At 42.3% G+C, this 21318-nt stretch overlaps 1 protein-coding gene across 26 annotated transcripts in view; it reads left to right on the top strand.

Moving 5' to 3' along the window:
• The window catches only part of SEL1L2 (SEL1L2 adaptor subunit of SYVN1 ubiquitin ligase), a 146087-nt gene that overhangs the window by 113381 nt on the left and 11388 nt on the right, over window positions 1–21318 (top strand). For 16 of the 26 annotated variants that reach the window (NR_073206.2, XR_937159.2, XM_006723650.3 and 13 more), the window contains 7 exons: window positions 4365–4433; window positions 5838–5915; window positions 11750–11812; window positions 12363–12450; window positions 15103–15251; window positions 16439–16604; window positions 16712–16786. Coding sequence is in view for 20 of the 26 variants with exons in the window: in XM_006723650.3 (XP_006723713.1) it covers window positions 4365–4433; window positions 5838–5915; window positions 11750–11812; window positions 12363–12450; window positions 15103–15251; window positions 16439–16604; window positions 16712–16786 (688 nt within the window). In the remaining 6 variants the exon portion in view is untranslated. Of the gene's footprint in view, window positions 1–4364; window positions 4434–5837; window positions 5916–6803; window positions 6929–11749; window positions 11813–12362; window positions 12451–15102; window positions 15252–16438; window positions 16605–16711; window positions 16788–21318 lie in introns of those variants that run through there. The other 10 variants (NR_073207.2, XR_937162.2, NM_001271539.2 and 7 more) reach the window with 4 other exon arrangements.

Genomic DNA, 21318 nt, shown 5'->3' with positions numbered 1-21318 from the left:
CTTGTCATTTCTTTGGGGTGAGAACATTCAAAATCCTCTCTTCTAGTTATTTTGAAATATACAATATCTTATTTTTAACTATAGTCCTCAGCCTGAAGACCACCACTTGAGCCAGCATGCTAATATTTCAGTCCACCAAAGAGAATTATTAGTATAAGTCTCTCTTTAAATATGATGCTCCAGTCCACTGCTCAGAAAATTAAATTTCAAGATACCTGGAAATGACTAGCTTGCCTTTCTTTTCCTTCCTCACTGTTTGGTTGAACTAATCTCTCTCATGAGTTGTCATCACAGAAAACGTTTTTACCCTCTCCCTGACCAAATTCTTAATTAGTGAAAAATATTGTATATGCAATTCTTGATTACATTATCTTGGATTTTCTACACATAGATTTTAATTTTATTTGCATTTCTAAATATATGAAGGCTCAGAATAAATTGGATTAGGAAAGCGGGATGTTTGGGTGAATATTATTAAAATGGATAAAGCGTAATTAAATTAAACCTAGCAGAGGAATAATATCAAATTTGTAAGGGCAACTGCTTTGTCTATCCTACCACCCATTTAAAAATTTAGAAAAAGAGCTAATACCATCTTTTCTCAGGATGTTCTACAGAGCAAGAGATAAAAGAAGTATTCAGGCCAGGCACGGTGGCTCACGCCTGCAATCCCAGTACTTTGGGAAGCTGAGGCGGGCAGATCATGAGGTCAAGAGATTGAGACCATCTTGGCCAACATGGTGAAACCCCGTCTCTACTAAAAATACAAAAATTAGCTGGGCATGGTGGTGCACGCCTGTAGTCCCAGCCACTCAGGAGGCTGAGGCAGGAGAATCGCTTGAATCTGGGAGGCAGAGGTAACAGTGAGCTGAGATTGCGCAACTGCCCTCCAGCCTGGCGACAGAGTGAGACTCCATCTCAAAAAGAAAATACATATATATTCATAAATGTTTTTAGAACAGTACATTTTCTTGGCATTTCATTCTAGGGGAAATGTTACAAACTGGTTAAACTACAGATTTTCTTAGAGCCAATGAAAAATCATGATCATTTTTTAAAAAGAGAGATATGGGTCCAAATAATAAAACTTTACTTACTTAGTGTAATACCTGGGGCGTACTATATTTCATACTAAGACACCACCAATTGTAAGACACACAAGTATTTTATGTTCTGAGGAAGAAAAAAAGAAAACTTACCAATATATATTATAATATGTCCTGATGGAAGTGAGGTGGGAGGAGATGTACATCTTAGAATCAGTGAAATATGATGTTGGGTGCTCAGTTAATATTTGAAGGAAGGATGGATGAATGGATGGATGGATGGATGGATGGATGGATGGATGGATGAGTACTTGATCTTAACTCTTCAAGAGCAAGAACTCAGGTTGGCTCGTGTATATCCATCAAGGTAGCTTGCTTGGTGGTAGTTTCACGTGGTGTTTAATAAAGGTTTATATAGTTGAAGCAATAGTATTAAGGACATGTAAATTTAAAAATGAGAAAAAAAAAGGGAATGAAATACTAAGTAAGCCATGACAGTGGAGCAGTGTATGAGACAGAGTCTCAATTCCTTTAGGTCTTTATCAAATCATTATATTTAAGGGTGGGGAAAACTCCAGGATTTATATTTGCTTCAGGAGAACAAGTTACTTTCTTTTAAAATTTCACTGATTTCCCAGAATGAAACTTTTTTCAGAAGTCTCTATTACAAGATATTTGAGAGCCAAATTACTAAACTGGACTTTGAAAATGATTTTACAGAATCATAATACTAGAGCTAGAAGAGCCTATAAAGATTAAAGTCCAGCTGCCTTGTTTTAGAGATGGATAGACATTCATACATTTATTCATTTCTGAAACATTTCCTGGTGCCTAACATATAGCCCACACTATGCTAAGTACAGAGGATTCAACATTGGAGGAGACAAAATAAGTCAATAATGAAATCAATGGATGAATGCCACAATACGGACAGGATGAGGTGCCGTGAGATCACAGAGGAGGAGAATCTGAATAAGGAAACCAAGCCCAGGAGATAATGTGATTTGTGTAATTTACACAGTTACCTGGGGACATATTTTGGTCATGGCTCAGTAGAGAGATTCATGAGATACACTTTTATTTTTGATATTAGTGTTCTCTCATTTAGTAACTTGTACATTGCTATAACTTTCTCCTCTCCAGCTGACACTTGGATGATTCCAGGCATTTTATCTTCAGGATTCCCTAACATTTATAGATCTTCAGTGGCTTCTATTTTCTATTTTTTAAAATAAAATAAAGTAAAATCCTTACGTCTAGGTGTGATGGCTCACACCTGTAATCCCAGCACTATGGGAGGTCGAAATGGGAGGATCACCTGAGGTCAGGAGTTCAAGATCAGCCTGGCAAACATGGCAAAACCCCATCTCTACTAAAAATACAAAAATGAGCCAGTTGTGGTGGTCACGCACCTGTAGTCCCACCTACTCAGGAAGCCGAGGCAGGAGAATCGCTTGAACCCAGGAGGTGGAGGTTGCAGTGAACCAAGATCATACCACTTCACTCCAGCCTGGGTGACAGAGCAAGACTCTGTCTCAAAAAAATTTTTTTTAATTAAAAAAATAAAATCCTTAGCTTAGTCTTCAAGATTGTTTATAGTAATGGCGCCATCTTATTTTTGCAAGTCTTAGCTTTTGGATGTTCTATTTCAGCCACGCCGAAGTAATCACTATTTTCTGAACACATCTTGGCCACTCCCATCCCCATTCGTTTGCTCAGGTTCTTCCCCTAGCCTCTGTACTGGTGACTTGTCACCATCTTTCATGAGGCCTCGATCATTTTAGCCCTCCTCTGTATACTGTGGAGACAGAGTGGTGAGCTGCTTATTGATCTGCAGTACTAACAGCATGACTCTGACATGTTGGTAATAAGATCAGATATTAATAATACCCTCTGATGGTGCTATTGTGAAGATTAGGTAAGAAAAAGTTTGCAAAAACTTATAGGAGAACTGGATACAATGTCTTTTATTCTATTCCCTTCTAATTCCTTATGGAGTTTCTTTTATACCACCTATTACCTACTATCTCACTGCTGTTTATATATATTTTCTTTCTCAGGAACATTGCTAGGGAGCAAATGTAGGAATCATGTTTCTGTTTATCTATGAATCATCTATAATACGTAACATACTATCCTATATATAGCAGGCTTCAGTCAAGTTTTTGAAAGGGTAAATGAAGATTGGAAGAGCTGGATGGATGAATGGATGCATGACGCCATGAGGTTTAACTGTGGCAGCATTTGTACTTATGCCCACAAAGAAGTTAGCAACATTCCTACAGCAAACTTCCATGTAAAATAACTACCAGCAGTTCTTCCTTAAACATTCTCTTCTCTTTGAGAAGGAACGTCTTTGCACATCAACCTGATCAAGACTTTTTAAAGAGCAGAAAGGTCGTATCCTAACAAGACACTTTAAAAAGTGGCTTCATAGCCAGGCATTGTGGGTGGGGGCGCCTGTAATCCCAGCTACTCAGAAGGCTGAGGCAGGAGAATCACTTGAACCCAGAAGATGGAGGTTGCAGTGAGCCGAGATCGTGCCACTGCACTCCAGCCTGGGCGACAGAGTGAGACTCCGTCTCGAAAAAAAAAAAAAGAGCGGTTTCATACCACATTCTTGAGGCTGATTTCTTTTATTGCTCTACATGGTTTCCAAGGAGGGGCTTTCCGGAAGGTCGAGATGAGGCCTAGGGAGTGTGGCAGCAAGGGACAAGGTCAGCCCTTATGTGTTCTAGACAGAGTGCTTCATTTAATGTAACGACCTAGACAAAATCAGAGGCTTTACTGGCCTCCTTCAATTTGAGTCAGAAGGAATTGTCTCAAAGCTCACTTCTGCATAAAGACCTGATCTCAGCAGCCGGCCAAGTGTGTCTGGTCTTACTCTGCCTACAAACATTAGCAAACTGTGTATCCAATTCTGCCAACCACAGTAAAACCTCATTAAGTACACAGTGTCAACAGAGAAGCCTGCTTTTCAAAATAATGGACTATTTAGCTTCACAGCTGGGATTCATCTCACCCTACAAAGCGACATTCCCATCGTGGCTTTCCAAATGTAAGAAGCAAGTCCTCATGTTATAAAATTATATGTAAGAAAGAGATATAGACACTCTCCCACTCCTCAGGTTATGGTTGAAAATGCATTTGGTTGGAATAGTGCCTTGAACAAAATGGGCATTTCACAGATTTTTTTTAAGCTCAGTGGCAAGCACCATAGATATTTTTTGAATGCATATTGAATAAAGTTTGGTTCAAAAAGCTATTTTGAAGGATTTATTTTGTGACTAGCAATAACACTGTTCCTTTTCTCTCCAGAAAGCATTACACTACTTCTTAAAGGCAGCAAAGGCCGGGAGTGCAAATGCCATGGCATTTATAGGAAAGGTACATGCTTCATCTTGATTCATTGTTTTCATTTATTAAAAACCTAAGAAATTAAACTGGGCATAGCAGCGTGTGCCTGTTGTCCCAGCTACTTGGGAAGTTGAGGTGGAAAGATCATTGAGCACAGGCAACCAGCCTGGGCAACACGGCAAGACCCTCATCTCAAAATAATTAAAATTTAAATTTAAAAATTAAAAATCTAACAAATTAATGATACCAGCTCATTGAACCCATTGTAGAGGGACAGGGCAGCAGGCCTCTTTCACGGAAGCGGCTAAGTGGGACATCTGGCTGCAACCCGAGGGTGATATTCTTGAGGTGACAGTTTGGGAAGAAGCCCCATATAACAGCAGCCTTTATCTGGGGCACCAAAAGCAGCCTTAAAAGTGCACCTTGGCCGGGCACGGTGGCTCACGCCTGTAATCCCAGCACTTTGGGAGGCTGAGGCAGGTGGATTGTTTGAGGTCAGGAGTTCAAGACCAGCCTGGCCAACATGGTGAAACCCCCGTCTCTACTAAAACTACAAAAATTAGCTAGGTGTGGTGGCGGGTGCCTGTAATCCCAGCTACTTGGGAGGCTGAGGCAGGAGAATCACTTGAACCTGGGAGGCAGAGGGTGCAGTGAGCTGAGATCACGCCACTGCTCTCCAGCCTGGGCAACAGAGGGAGACTCCGTCTCCAAAAATAAAAAATAAAATAAAAATGTGCACCTGGCCCAGGGCTCCTCCTCTGAGCGTAGCTATGAGCCTATGACCACCCCACTCCCCAATATGTAAGAGGAGATCCAGGTTGGTTGAGCACTGGAGACCGGGACAGGTCTCAGCCCAATCAGGCCCTTCTCTGCTCTACTGCTGGAGTGTGAATCAGCTCCAGGCTGACCAGAGCTATCCTTATGCCACCTCTGATGAGAGGCCTCCTGTGGCTGCAGAGTAGCCTGGTGGAGGGTTCCTCTGGAAAGGCATGTTCTTCTGTCTCCTTCAAAGACTATTCACTCCCCTGTGTGCCACCCTTGGCTCCCTGCAGCCGATTTGCATTAGTAACCATAGGGACGAATGTCCTGCTTCCTAAGTGCAACATACAGTAAATGTAGATGCAAAAAAAAAAAAAAAAAAAAGAGAGAGAGAGAGAGAAAACACAAACAGGGTCCATTTCTTTGCCCTCAGGCAGGGTCACTCCAGAAGTCTGTAATAAATGGTACTCTTACTTTTTCTTGTTTTAAATTGAGGTAAAATGTAAATATGTAAATAACACAAAATTGACCACTTTATACAATTCAGTGGCATTTACAGTGGCATTTACTACATTCAATATGTTGTACCACTGTTACCTCTATTTCATTTTAAAATATTTGCATTACTCTCAAATTATTTTGTTTTTTCTATCCTCTTTTCATTTTTCTTCCTAGATGTATTTAGAGGGGAATGCTGCCGTGCCGCAAAATAACGCTACTGCCTTCAAGTACTTTTCCATGGCAGCCAGTAAGGTATGTCCTCAATGCACTGTTGTAAACACATACACACAAATTGCTTTTATTACACGCAGACTGGTGCCAAAGAATTGACTTCGAAGTCCCAAGCCCAGATAATGGGCCTGTAAGGAGTTTTGTGTCCTGGAGAAGTATAATACTGGTGATGGGAGTAAGGGAAGCTACAACTTGCCTTCTTGGAAAATGAAAAATGGCAGTGGCTTGTGCTGCCCTAGCAGAGGCCAGGAGGAGGCCAGACAGAAGTTCAGCCAGACAGAAGTTCAGCTTTCCCCTCTCCCTTATGCAGTAGATGAGGCCATCTAGCTTAGGAACAGGAAACAAAAGAGATGAGGACAGAGGAAGGGAAAATCCAATCAATAGCTGCAGGAAGTTCAAGACAAAGACATCCTAGGAATGTCCAGTTTTCTCCAGTCTCATCTCATCCAAAGGCCAGAGCTCCCTCTGGCCCAGGCGGGAGCTTGTCAGGGAGGAGGCCAGGGCAAGGCGACTGAGAATAGGGATCTGGAGACAGAATCCCTGGCTTGAATGGCAGCCCTAAAACTGACTAGCTGTGTGAACAAGGGCAAGTTACTTAGCCTCTCTGTGCCTCAATTTCCCCATCTGTAAAATGGGAATTTAAGAATATTTGCCTGCCAGGCACAGTGGCTCACGCTTGTAATCCCAACACTTTGGGAGGCTGAAACAGGCAGATTGCTTGAGCTCAGGAGTTTGAGACCAGCCTGGGCAACATGGTGAAACCCCATTTCTACAAAAAATACAAAAATTAGCCTGGCATGCTGGCACATACCTGTAGTCCCAGCTGCTCACAAGGCTATGCTTCATTCATATTGTGAAGTACTTAAAGCAGTGCCTGGCACACAGTAAGGGCGCTTTTATCTTTTGCAGTCTGGGGCCAGTAAAGTGGAGTGAACTTCGAAGCACATCCCAGACAGAATGAATTAGCTGTATGAGGGACGATCGAAATGGTATAATATGCCTCCTGCATCGAAGTCTTTGCCTCTGCTCCTGGGGTCCGTGAGGCTGGTATCTGTCAGATAAGACTTAGTAGACTCCTTTGAATCCCTTTCATGCATAAAAAATGCCCTCATCCCACACCCATCGGCCTGCTCTTGGCGAATGGCCTTGGTAAACTTTCTAACCCTGCACAGTAGGAAGCATTTTGTTGTCTTACAGTTGCATACTGGAACACTGGCAGTAAAGATGTGCTCAAACCAGGAATCATTTCAACTGTTCTCAGTTTTTAAAAACCCACACACTGCTTTAGGAGCCTATTTATAAGTGACTACCACCTCAGAGCTGCTGCTATTGTGGTGTAAATTACTGAGAAGGCTAGTACTCTGCTCCTCTCCTTTGTAATTTATATGGAATTGTTGCTCAGAAAGGCAGTTATCTGAAGTACCATTAGATTAGGATGACAAGGAAGAGCAGACTGAAAAGGAGTAACATGGAAAATCTCTTATCATCTGGCAAATAACACTGATTTGTCAGCCCATAAGAATAATGCCAGGGAGATGGGAATGTAAATTAACTCAGATTCCAAGCTATTCAGGGTTGTGGAACCAACCAGCAGTGATCTGGGTCTCCGGTGCGCTGAACCCGAGCTACTTTCCTTTACAAAGGAAATCTGAACTTACAATTAAGGTAATTATTCTAAATGGCATTAGGTGGAGATGGCCACATACTTCTTGATCAGCGCCTGAACAATTTATTAGATTTCTCACTCTTACTACTTTTTTAAAAACTGCTTTCTAAATTTGTTTTTAAATGATATCAATACCATGACACAGAGCTACACATTTTACAACATCTTTTGTCTTATTTACTTAGAAACAAGCACAGTGACTGTATGTGACGTTGTGCCCATGTTGGACCACATTCCTCCAGTTCTCTCTTGCGCCCTGAGCATGTCAGGCCCGTCCCCATCTCCATACTTTTGTCATCTGCCTCCCCTTCCCAGACTCTCTTATTCTAAGTCCTACTCATCCCCAGAGCGGAGCCCAATCCTCCCTTCATCCACAGAGCTGCCCCTGCCCTTGCTGGCTCACATGATCTCTTTCCTGTTCTGAACTTACCCTGCGTTCACTCCTGCTGCTGGGATTTAACTGCTTCCTACCTGTGGCTTCTCCCCTCCTGTCCAAAGGCCATGTGTCCTCAACTAGAGGAGGGCAAAGGTCCTGCCAGGGGGTTATTAAATAAAGGGGTCCAGGGCAGGGGATTATTAAATATTTGCCAAAGAAATGCCTGTCTGCTCCCTGGCTTCATGTCAGCTAACCTAAGCAAGAGCATTACACCCTGAAACAGCAGGTGTATACTGCAGGGTTTGGCTATACATATGGCTTTTCTGGCCCAGAAAGTGTTTTAAAAATCAGTAAACTGGCCAGGCATGGTGGATCACGCCTGTAATCCCAACACTTTGGGAGGCTGAGGCAGGCGGATCACCAGGTCAAGAGATCGAGACCATCCTGGCCAACATGGTGAAACCCCATCTCTACTAAAAATACAAAAATTAGCTGGGCATGGTGGCACATGCCTATAGTCCCAGCTACTCAGGAGGCTGAGGCAGGAGAATCACTTAAACCCGGGAGGAAGAGGTTGTAGTGAACTGAGATCATGCCACTGCACTCCAGCCTGGCAACAGAGCAAGACTCTGTCTCAAAAAATAAATAAATAAATAAATAAAAATAAATGAGTAAAATTCACATCCAAATCTAAACATCTAGCTTTTCTTGAAAATGGCAAAAGCTAGCTAGGCATGGTGGCTCACACCTGTAAATCCCAGCACTTTGGGAGGCTGAGGCTGGTGGATCACTTGAGGTCAGGAGTTCGAGACCAGCCTGGTCAACATGGTGAAATCCCGTGTCTACAGAAAGTACAAAATTAGCCAGGCATGGGGGTGCATGCCTGTAATCCCAGCTACTTGGGAGGCTGAGGCATGAAACTCACTTAAACCCAGGAGGCAAAGGTTGCAGTGAGCTGAGATCACTCCACAGCACTCCAGCATGGGTGATAGAGCAAGAGTCTGTCTCAAAAAAAAAAAAAAAGAAAAAAGAAAATGGCAAACGCTGATGAAACAGGACTGCCATTCCATGTGGCACCAACCAGCTGGAGCAGAGGAACTGAGAGCTGCTGCTGCCTTCACACAGGGCAGGGACTCCACGTGTCTCCATCTGCACCACTGTCTCCACTACCTGGCATATTTTATTTCTTATATCACCGGCATGGTTCCTGCAGGTGTCTGAACTGGCCACTCTTCGCCTGACAAGTTCTAAATAGGCACACTGGGCCTTAAACAGTGATGGGTAATTCACTGAGTCCCTGGGATCCCAGGGACTCCCTTAGAGGAGAAAGTAATTTGTCCCTGCTATTCTAACATTTCTCCTTTCTCTCTCCCTTCTTCCTTCCCTCCTTTCATATCTGTTTCCTTCCCTTCTGTATTAGTCCGTTCTCACATTGCTAATAAAGACATACCCAAGACTGGGTAATTTATAAAGGAAAGAGATTTAATTGGCTCACAGTTCAGCATTGCTGGGGAGGCCTCAGAAAATGTACAATCATGGCAGAAGGGAAAGCAACCACGTCCTTCTTCACATGGCGGCAGCAAGGAGAAGTGCCGAGCAAAAGAGGGAAAAGCCCCTTATAAAGCCATCAGATCGCATGAGAACTCACTCACTATCACAGGAACAGCAGCACGGGGGTAACCGCCCCCATGATTCAATTACCTCCCACCAGGTCTCTCCCATGATGCATGGGGATTATAGGAACTACAATTCAAGATGACATCTAAACAAGGCTAATTAGAAGAAGACAGACTCACTAGACTTTGCCACATCCATCACACTGATCCTTACTACTTCCAGAGCAGAGCAACTCAAGACTCCCAGAACCACAGGAGATATAGCCAGGAGAGAAGAGGGAAGAAGAGAGCAGAGTTATACCACCTGTTTTAAATACAGATGGACTGTCCTTAAGAACCCTTACAATAGCAGATCATTTCATATGATAGGCTCAAAATTTGGAGTCTTGAAACCACTTTTGAAATATGCCTTCTCTATTTATGTGCTATTCCTGTGTTACTGAGGGTTACTCCGGCTGCATCTACAATAACTAAATGTAGGTGGTAAGAAGAAATTTGGAGAGCTTTTTATTAGAACATAAGTTCCTGCAGAAATACTAGGAACCTGTAAAACATACCTACAGATCTGCTGAATCAAAGTCAGTTGGTCGGCAGGGTGCGGTGTCTCACGCCTGTAATCCCACCACTTTGGGAAGCTGAGATGGGTGGATCACTTGAGGCTAGGAGTTTGAGACCTGCCTGGCCAACATGATGAAACCCCATCTCTATTAAAAATACGAAAAACAGCTGGGCATGGTGGCGTGCACCTGTAATCCCAGTTACTCAGGAGGCTGAGGCAGGAGAATAGTTTGAACCAGGGAAGCAGAGGTTGCAGTGAGCCGAGATCACCTCACTGCACTCCAGCCTGGGCAACAGAGTGAGACTCCGTCTCAAAAAAAAAAAAAGAAAGTCAGGTGGTCAATCATGGTTTCTTACTGTAGTCACTAGAGGGTGAAATGCGTGATAGGACATGGAAAGAAAAAGGAGTTTTCTCCTTGAGTAAGTCACTTTCAAGGTTCACTCTTCATCCAAAATTGATATGCTAAATATCAATATATTTGAACATGTGCTGAATACTAAATGTGCTAAATACTCCCTTCCTTAGAGTATTCCAATATTAATCAGAAAATAAATAGTAATTAATTTAGCATCAAGTGGAAAAGGAAACATCGGGGATGTTATAAGCAATAAATTTGAATAAAGAAATATACCAACGATGCTTTACTATCTGTAGTGGCTGGATTGTAATCCACAGAGTCTCTAAAATGTGATTAGGCCATTTACGTCAACCTCTGTAGACCTGAGTAGGTAACAAGTGTCTGGATAGACTTCTCCCTTCTGGAAAACTCCTACACATCCTTTAAGACCTAGCTCAAATGTCACCACCCCTGACAACTTGATCTCCTTCAATTCCTAGTCTAAATCAGGCAATAGAGTGTCCCTCTTCTAGGTGTCTGCAACACTCTCAATCTATTTCTTTTTTTTTTTTTTTTTTTTTTGAGATGGAGTTTTGATCTTTCGCCCAGGCTGGAGTGAAGTGGCGCAATCTCGGCTCACTGCAACCTCCACTCCATGGGTTCAAGCAATTCTCCTGCCTCAGCTTCCCAAGTAGCTGGGATTACAGGTGTGTGCCACCACACCCAGCTAATTTTTACATTTTTAGTAGAGACAGGGTTTCACCATGTTGGCCAGGATGGTCTCGAACTCCTGACCTCAGGTGATCTGCCCACCTTGGCCTCCCTAAGTGCTGGGATTACAGGCATGGGCCACCATGCCCGGCCTCAATCTATTTCAACTTTAGGACTTACCACATTTGACAGGACTCTAAGAGGTCTGACCTGCCCCTCCCCTTTGATATGGCTCAGAGCCCCCTAGCGTGTGAACTCTTCAAGGCAGGGATCATGGCTTCTTCATCTTTTACCTTTCACCTGCTACCTCTGCCCAGTGCCTACTATGGAATCATACACAAAACAAGTCCTAAATAAGTGTTGAATACAAGAATGGAGGAAAGGTTTGACTTCTGTTTCCCTCTTCCCTTTTCTAGCCAGAAGGTTTATGAAAGTATAAAAGGAGGAACTAGAGTGGGTCAGAATAACCTGCCAACTGCCTTGATTAATCTCTTACTGGGTGCATGTCAAATATTTTGAAAAATTTTGCAGTAATTTTCCTTATCATGAATTCTTCTGGGACTTTACTTGGCTTTATAAAACTCTTCTAGGGCAATGCAATCGGCCTTCATGGGCTTGGTCTTCTTTACTTTCATGGAAAAGGAGTTCCCCTGGTAAGTTAAATTATTTTATTATCTTTTTATTTGTAGCAATTTACAGGGTAAAATTCATGGTCATTCATTAGTTTAAAGGAATTTATCTCTATTATCTGGTTTGCCAAACTGTGATATCAGATAATAGAGAATAAAATAATCCAGTGAAATCTCTGCCAAAGAGACACTGAAGAACAAGCTTGTGACAAGAATAGTAATTCTAATTATAGCTTAGAATCATAGATTCTAAGTAACCTTAGAAATCATCTATCCTCTGAGGACTTTATTGATGGAGAAATTTATCTTCATAGTCTTTTGAGTGACCTTCCCCCAATATCTAACAAAACTTACTGTCAATGTAGAAAAAGACATAATTATGATGAAAATGAGGCATTATTTCCTAATAGAGTCTAATATAATAATGAAATAAAATATATAATGTTTCTGATACTATTTTAATTACCCTAAATCACATAGGGCACTGTCTATACTCTTTTTAAGAAGTGGAAGGCAATTGTTTCCATGGAGTTTTACTTGTGCCTTTGAGTAATAGAGTGTAATTATCTTGCAGAATTATGCCGAAGCACTTAAATACTTTCAGAAAGCTGCGGAAAAAGGGTGGCCCGACGCACAGTTCCAGTTAGGCTTCATGTACTACTGTAAGTGCCACAAATACAGCTGCTTTATTTAGAATGACATATGCATTATTAAGTCTGCTTCTTTTATAACAAACATCAAAGGTTTGGTGTGAGTGGTTTAGACAGAACATTTAGGCAACAAATTAAATAAGAATTTGAAAAAGCCTAAAGAAAAGGACACTGGTTGGGAGGGGGGACAAGGAGGTGCAGAGTCAGGAAGCTTATCTTTGACAAGGTTAAGTTGGAGGTGCTAGCGATATCCCGTGCACATCCCCAGAAGCAAGTACGACACTCACGAGAAAGGTCAAACTTACAGAGAAGGTTCGAGAGGCATCAGCACGCAGCTATTAGTTAAGAGTAGTTGAGGTTGCAAAAGGAAAGGAGCAAGAGGGTGAGAGGAAAGAGCAGTGGGCCATGGTAGATAACTAGTGATCCTCCGTGCTGTATTGAAGGGTAGGCAGGGGAAGTACATCACTGAGAAGAATGGAAAGCCAAGCTCAGCGGAATAGGGAACAAAAAAAAAAAAAGATCTTAATGGAGCCAAGGGAAGAACTTTCAAGGAAGAGTAAATGAATGGGCACCCCTGTGAAATGCAGTGAGAAACCTGGTTTAAAAAACAAGTAAGAGGCCGGGCGTGGTGGCTCACGCCTGTAATCCTAGCACTTTGGGAGGCCGAGGCGGGCGGATCACGAATTCGAGACCAGCCTGGCCAATATGGTGAAACCCCGTGTCTACTAAAAATACAAAAATTAGCCTGGCATGGTGGCGGCTGCCTGTAGTCCCAGCTACTCGGGAGGCTGAGGCAGAATCAAATTGCTTGAACCCAGGAGGTGGAGGTTGCAGTGAGCCTAGATCACGCCACTGCATTCCAACATGGGCAACAGAGTGAGACTCCATCTCAAAAAAAAAAAAAAAAAGTAAGAAAGAATGAAATATGTATGAGACTTGGCAATACAGAGACTGTGGGTGAGGTCATTGGACTGCTTGGGGTGGAAGCCGCATGCCAACGGCATGAACGGAAGATCAGGAAGTTGAGAAATAAAAGTATTCTTGCAAGCAGCATGCCCTTAAAGGGAAGGAAAGAGAAGGAACTCAGCATCAGGGGGACTAGGACCCAGAGGGAGTTACTTTTAAGATGAAGAGACCTGAGCATAATTATAATTGATGGAAAGAGATTCTGAAAAACATTGGTGGTATTAGCACCTGATTAGGCACAGATCAGTGGAAGCCTCTTTAACCGTGATAGATAGACAGGATTGCTTACCCTCAAAGACTGGAGAGAGGGTGGAAAGGATGATGCGAATCTAAGTATGGGGGAATGGGATGGGGAGAGAGGTGAGTGAGGAAAGACAATATGAAGTTTTCTTCAATGATCTAGTAGGTACAAAGTTGACTTCTGTGAGCAAAGGTAGAGTGGTTGGCTAGGAGGTCTTAGAAAGCCATGAAAGTTTGTAACAATCTCTGTGGGGAGTGAGAGAGGAAGTGGCCAAGACAAATACCAGGAGATATGAACATACCTGAGTATCCCCACCAAGTCCTTCATGTCAGAGGAGGAGCCAGGGCAGCAGCAGACCACATCATCAAGGAGGTCACATCCGGTCAAGGGGTCACTGGCATTTTCCACGGTGGCCCAGCAGGAGCACCTGTTTTGTACTATCTTGGGGGGTTGAGGTTGCCTAAGATGGCCTTGTTCTTCTAGTTCATTCCAAGTCCTTGGCTTGGGATCTACCAGATTTCCCAAGTTTCTAGAATAAGAAAAATAGTCATGGCTAATGTATATTAAGTCTTCGTATGTTTTAACTCATTTCGTATGTTTTAACTCATTTGACCCTCTCAACTCATTTGACCCTCTCAACATCTACCGGGTATCCCACAGTGTATCCACTGTGATGAGCAAACTAAGCCAATGTTGTGGTTGGACATCTTGCCCAGGATCACACAGTTGTGGAGCTGGAATTCAAATTCAAGCAATTTGCCTCCAGAGCTTTTGCTCTTAATCGCTACATGGCACTGCTTCTAAAGGCTCCAGTGTTAGAGCTGGAAGATAACTTAAAGACCATCTAAGGAAAGCCTTCACTTTTGCAAATAAAGTGCCTAAATGGCCCAAGTCACAAAAGAACTAATGAGAGAGCCAGGACAAGAATCTTGGCTGCTGGGAGTCTGCTGGTTCTCTGCTCTAGCTTCAAGTGCCTATTCTTGCTCTAAGCAGGAGTTTGGTGAGAGTTCGGCTTCTTGGAGCTGGGATTTACCTGCTGCATACGCCATAGTCATGGCTGGGAGAAGCTATATGGGTGTCCTGATATGGAAGGATCACAAAGATGGCGAGATAAATCATGGTGGCGCTTCGGGTCCTCAGAGACCATCACTTGGTCTCCTTTGCATTAATTTTAGTTATGCCATAGTGAGGAGATACTTTCATAAGACGAAGTAGTCCTTCTTTCTCAATTTTTTTTTCAGAATGGCTCAAGAATATAAATTTCCATATTCTTACTTAGAACCAAACTCAGTGTTCACCCCCACCTTCACAAATAGTGGATTTAGAGTAGCTTGACTTTTGGTTGGCTTTTCCCATTCTATTTAAATAGCAGGCATCACTATGACTATTATATCCATAGATTATAATATAAAAAATAAAGTCAATAAGGGGTGGCTCAAAACAATTTTAATTTTCAGCTGGCTCTGGAATATGGAAGGATTATAAACTTGCCTTCAAATATTTTTACCTGGCATCTCAGAGTGGGCAGCCCCTTGCCATTTATTATCTGGCCAAGATGTATGCAACAGGAACAGGAGTAGTAAGATCATGCAGAACTGCTGTGGAGGTAAATATAATATGCGGCTGTTTTTAAAGCACTTGTCATATATGACACAGAGGAGGTGATACTGTTCTTAAATTGTTGGTGTCTTTGATTTTATAAATATTACCTCTTTTCTTCCAGTTGACAATGTGAATACTGACATTTGTCAGAGGGGAAAAGCAGTGATGTAACTCAGGTTGGGGAAGGGAGACAGAGAAAAGATCTCTCCTCTCTCTGACATTTGGCTTTTCATCAGGTTCAGAGCTCACCTCAACATGCAGTTAAGGAGCTCTGTTTCAGCATTCAATCAAATCACCAGGGCAATTTGGCACTTCTAGTGGGATTGGGAGTTGCTACTTGGGAACCAAAAGGCTAGATTTAGCCTAGAAAATGTAGCCCACTTCTTCCCAGAAAGCAGCATCCTTAGGTTTTTGATGATTTGGATGACAATTGAGAAAGTGAATTCTTTCAGCCTGAGCCAGTGATGCGCTTTCCAAAAGAATGCTTTTAGGACCTTAATGTCCTTCATTGATTTATTAAACACGTCTGCTACACCAGCATAAATACTCTATGTTGCAATCTGGCCCCTCTGAAGCTTATTTCAAAAGCTGCCAGCTAATGATCTATCTTTAGATTTGCTCCTTTGCCAACTTCCTAATGAATTATGTATGGCTAACCTCTTTTGGTTACATAAGGGCTATTCAGCTAAGTTGACATTTGTCCCCCTAGGGCTCTGCACACCTCTCTCACAGTTATGTCACCTACACCCTCCGGCACTGTCTTTCCTTCATTCTCTCCTTTTCACATCAGCTGTGGCCTTATAACTTGCCCTCGCAGAGCAGCAGTGCTCAGAAAGTCCCTTTAAGAACACACACACACACACACACACACACAGACACACACACTAGCGATACATTCTTATTCTTCCAAATAGCCTCCAAGTCAGGAAAGTTTATTATACAAATTTAAAATAAGGCTGAGGAAGTTTCCCTCAAGACAAAAACAAAACAAAACAAACCCAAACACTTCTGATCTTTGTGCCTATAAAAGGTATTAACTCTTTACCCTAAATAATTTGCAAAAGCCATGTTTTAGACCTAAAATCCTTCCCTGACCAGCTGGTAGGAGCTGAAGACTGATTTCCTTTCTCATTTGCCTGGGGTGAAGCATACTGGCTAACTAGTCTCCTTGATTTCTCCTCTCATGTACAGCTTTATAAAGGTGTCTGTGAACTAGGCCACTGGGCTGAGAAATTCCTGACAGCTTACTTTGCCTATAAGGATGGTGATATAGATTCTTCTCTTGTTCAGTATGCACTGCTTGCAGAAATGGGGTATGAAGTAGCTCAAAGCAATTCAGCATTCATTTTGGAATCTAGTAAGATGAGTTAAAATTCTCTGCAATCCCCCAATCATACATATGCATGTATGACTTTACTACAGAGGCATTTTAAGCCTTCCTAATGGAATGTCTCCTCTTTTTAGAAAAGGCTAACATTCTTGAAAAAGAGAAGATGTATCCAATGGCGCTTCTCCTATGGAATCGAGCTGCCATTCAAGGTATGGAACCCAGATAAAAATAAGCACATACCCGGTCCCTGTCCTCTGTTATTCATCACGTTTGCTGTAGCTGCGTGTTTGTGCACATAGGCAGCAAAGGGTAGAATATCAAGTAGGTGACATTTCAAACTATACTGATGTTAGGGTCAGTCTTTGGTGAGAGATCATTTCCAGGAATTTATTTTCCCCATTATTATCAAGGTCCCTGATTCAGCAAGCCATAGGAATTTTTCTATGGCTCTGTCTCCGTGACACCAGAACAGTTCTTTGAAATATACAATTTTACTCAAAAAACCAGTTTTCTTGGTCTGGCTTCACTCATTCATTGCTGAGATCTTGACTGAACTAATCAGAGACATGACCCATGTCTCAATGAGTTTACAAGCAAAATTAGTTATGTATGTATCTAAGGCTCATGTGATTTCTCTATTAAAATATCACATTGATGACTACCATAAACTTCAGATCTTTACTACAATCATTAGCATGTAAGAATAAAAAACCAAACCAAAACAAAACAGATACATGGCAGGATCCTCTCGCTTTTCCTCGAGTTTCCATGTCTCGCTTGCTGGCATCACATGGATAAGGAATATAAGATACCAGTGGTGGGAAAAGCATTGGCAGGTGGTATTTTCATTGCATTGCGATGTCTCTTACTATTTTTCCCCTAAAATTATATTATTAAAAGCAGAGAAATACTGCAAAGCTGTCACCATTGGCATTTGGATATGTGAAAACTCTCTTGCAATAAGAGAGCAATTTTGCTTCCAATTAGGTTTCTTAAAATTGTCTTATGCTAAGGCCAAATCATCCCTTTTCACAGGAAGTGAATAGGATAAAAAATGATTCTCAGCTGACACTAATATGAAGCATAGGAAAAAGTCACAGTGGTGCTTTCTCATATCCAGCTGAGCCGGTAGCACAGCAACAGCCATCAATGCAATTTTAGTGAGACATTCCCCTTAAAAAGTCTATGTTTTATAAAATGCAATGAAGACCTTATTTAGAGTGGGGAAACAATACCCGCAATCTCTCAGCCATGGCCAGTCAGCTCAATTACAACAAATGTGGGTTTATTCCAAGCCAGGAAATGGTGTGGAAATTGCAGCAAGGAAAAGAGACATTGAAAACAAGGGTACATTGAGATATATACATATATATTTTTTTCTTTATCTTTTTCTTTTTTTTTTTTTTTGAGATGGAGTCTTGCTCTGTCTCCAGGCTGGGGTGCAGTGGCACAATCTAGGCTCACTGCAACCTCCGCCTCCTGGGTTCAAGTGATTCTCCTGCCTCAGCCTACCAAGTAGCTGGGACTACAGGCATGCGCCACCACACCCAGGTAATTTTTGTATTTTTAGTAGAGACGGGATTTCACCATGTGGACCAGGATAGTCTTGATCTCTTGACCTCGTGATCTGCCTGCCTCGGCTTCCCAAAGTGCTTGGATTACAGGCATCAGCCTATACCATCGCCCAGCTAGTACATTGATATTAAACTGAATTCCTCAATATAAAAAAGTCAGGCTGCTAAAAATAATCATGTGTCCTAAGAGAGGTCAGGTATAAGTGTCCCTGAAGATATGGCTACTGAGTGGCTCACTTGGGACTAGGGAATCTAATAATGAAATTTTCCAATTAGTCACTGGCCATACTCCTTTTAGCAGTTACTCATGTAAAGAGGGTGCTGAACCATCAGGACTCAGTCACTGCCCTGTGACTGTGAAATCGAAGTGGAAATCCCTCCACTGTCAGTTGATCCCCACAGGAGCCTGTCTGGCTCACCACATGCTGCCAGTCAGCCCCCTTATTAGGGTGGAGCTGAATTCCCCCAAGAACCAGCTTGTTCACTGCCTTCCATTCTTAGAGGCTTCAGGGATCCTGCTTACTGCCTGTACAACTTGACAATGCACAGAATTGTCCTATCTCTTTGTGGTTATAGCCCAGGAGGAATCTTAGGGTCAAAGGAAGGCAGCTTTGGGCAAAATTAGAGATGGAATAGGTTTCTCTTTAGAGCTCCATTGGACCTCCTGCTTCTTCAGACTCCCTTGGGCCTCTTTTCTGGGCACCATTCTTATAAGTTCTTGCTCCCAGTTACTGACCTGTACATTTGGAAGCATCTGGAAAGCAAGCCCTGATAACTAATGTCTTTGCCAGCTAAGAATTTTATAGACCAGGTGCAGTGGTTCATGCCTGTAATCCTAGCACTTTGGGAGACCGAGGTGGGAGAATTGCTTGAGACCAATAGTTCAAGACCAGGCTGGGCAACATAGTGAGACCTCATCTCTACAAAAAAATAAAAGATAAAAAAAATTAGTTGGGTGTGGTGGTGTGCACCTGTAGTTCTAGCTACTCAAGGGGCTGAGGCAGGAGGATCTCTTGAGCCCGGGAGATTGAGGCTGCAGTGAGCCGTGATCACATCACTGCACTCCAGCCTGGGCAACAGAGTGAGATTCTGTCTCAAAAATAATAATAATAATAAATAATAATAATAAAAATTTTATAGTGTTAGCTGTACTCAGAGAGACTTAAAGAAGGCTCATGGTATTACATCTTTTTGAAGTGTCTACATTTTAATAGAAGATTCTAGAAGATTAGAACTTCGGTACCTAAAGGAATAAATTCCAAAGGATGTTATGCACTACATTAGGGCCAAATGAGAAAATTTTGGAAGGAGTCCTATATCACTTAATGCTAGACCTGAGCTCATACAGGGCACTTCCTCTTTTTCTGAGTAAGCCGAGACCATGCTAGAAGGGCTGGCCACAGCTGAGATGGATGTCCTAGATGAGTGTTCCTTCATCTTTCCAATCAACACTCTCTTTGTGGATGGGAACATAGACCCCAAGGGGACCCTTAAGGGTCATCCCTAAGTGGACTTCAAAGACTGAAGTCTCAGATCTTAAAAAGTCACATGAGTTTTTTCTACTTGACATATTCATGTTTGTTGGACAGTCATATTCTAAAGTACTTGATATCTAGGGAAAGCATTATCTAAAAAGTTTCCTTGCATGTCCATCCATTCATTCTATATGTATTTATCAAGTACCATTCCGGGTTCTGGGATTGTGTCAGTGATTAAGAGTTCAAGGTGCTTGTCCTCATGAAGTACCTGCCCTCATATGGAAGAGAGAAAATAAACTAGTAAGCAAATCAGATGACAGTGACATGCTGTGAAGGAAATAAAACATGGAGATGAGGTAGATAACTTCTGGGGTGGGGGCTGAGGAGCACTTTAGACAAGGTAGTCGGAGACGGCCTCTAGGAGAGAAGTGGCATTGGCGCTTCTGAGAATGACGAGAAGCCAGCCACGGGAAGAGTCAGAGTGTTCCAAACCTGCCAGGTAGAGGGCCTTGAGGAATCGAATGCAGGGATCTTGTGCAGAGGGCAGGTGAGGCATAACTTGTAGGTCGTAAGGAGTCTGACTATTATTCCAAGGGCAAAGCAAAGTCATTGGAGGATTTTACACAAGGAAATAACATAACTTGATTTTACATTTTAAAAAGATCATCCTCTAGCTAAACAATATGAGGTTTCTCTTCAGAGCGATTAAAATATTCTAAAATTGTGGTAATGCTTGTACATCTCTGTGAATATATGAAAAACCATTTGACTGTACCCTTTAAATGGGTAAATTGGATGGTATGTGAATTGTATCTCAATAAAACTGTTACATATATACTATATATAACATATACATATATTATACATATATATATATCATGCTGGCTGGGTGCGTCACACCTGTAATCCCAGCACTTTGGGAGGCTGAATTGGGAGGATCGCTTGAGCCCAGGATTTCGAGACAAGCCAGAGCAATATGGTGAATACGGGCATGTTGGTGCATGCCTGTAGTCCTAGCTACTCAGGAGACTGGGGTAGGATGATCGCTTGAGCTTGGGAGGCTGAGGTTGCAGTGAGCTGAGATCATGCCATTGCACTACAGCCTAGGCGACAAATCCAGGCCCTGTCTCAAAAATAAATAAATAAAAATAAAAAAAAAGATCATCCTGGCTGTTGTGTGAAGAACGGGTTGGAAAGTGAAGATAAAAGAAGGGTTTGAAGCCTATTGTAGTATTGTAGGCTGGAATAGGCAGTGGAGGAGATATCAGGAGTTAAGCGTGTTTTAGAGGCAGAACCAACAGGACTTGATGAATTGGCTGATGGAGGCGAGGGAAAAAGAACTAGGAATAATTCCCCTAGACTTATGGCCTGAACAATGGGGGTGCTGTACTGAGACAGGGAAGAAACTGATGATTTTGTTTGGAGGAACGGGTGTAGGGTGCTAGGAAATCTCTGTTGGGCATTTTAAGTTTGAAATCCAAGTGGAGACATCAAGAGGCAATTATAAGAGCCTGGGCCTCAGGGAGAGAGAGATAGTAGATATAAATTTAGAAATAGTTAATAAAGACAGGCAATGGAACGAAACAAGGTCACCCAGAGAAAGAGTTGAGATGGAGCAGATTGTTGGAGAGAGGCGGGGAGGAGAGGTGAGAGAAGAGAAAAGAGGGAAAAGAAGAAAGAGAAAAAAAG

Source organism: Homo sapiens, chromosome 20, assembly GCF_000001405.40.
Source record: "Homo sapiens chromosome 20, GRCh38.p14 Primary Assembly".
Taxonomy (NCBI): Eukaryota; Metazoa; Chordata; class Mammalia; order Primates; family Hominidae; genus Homo; species Homo sapiens.
This window is presented reverse-complemented; position numbering and strand designations above follow the sequence as displayed.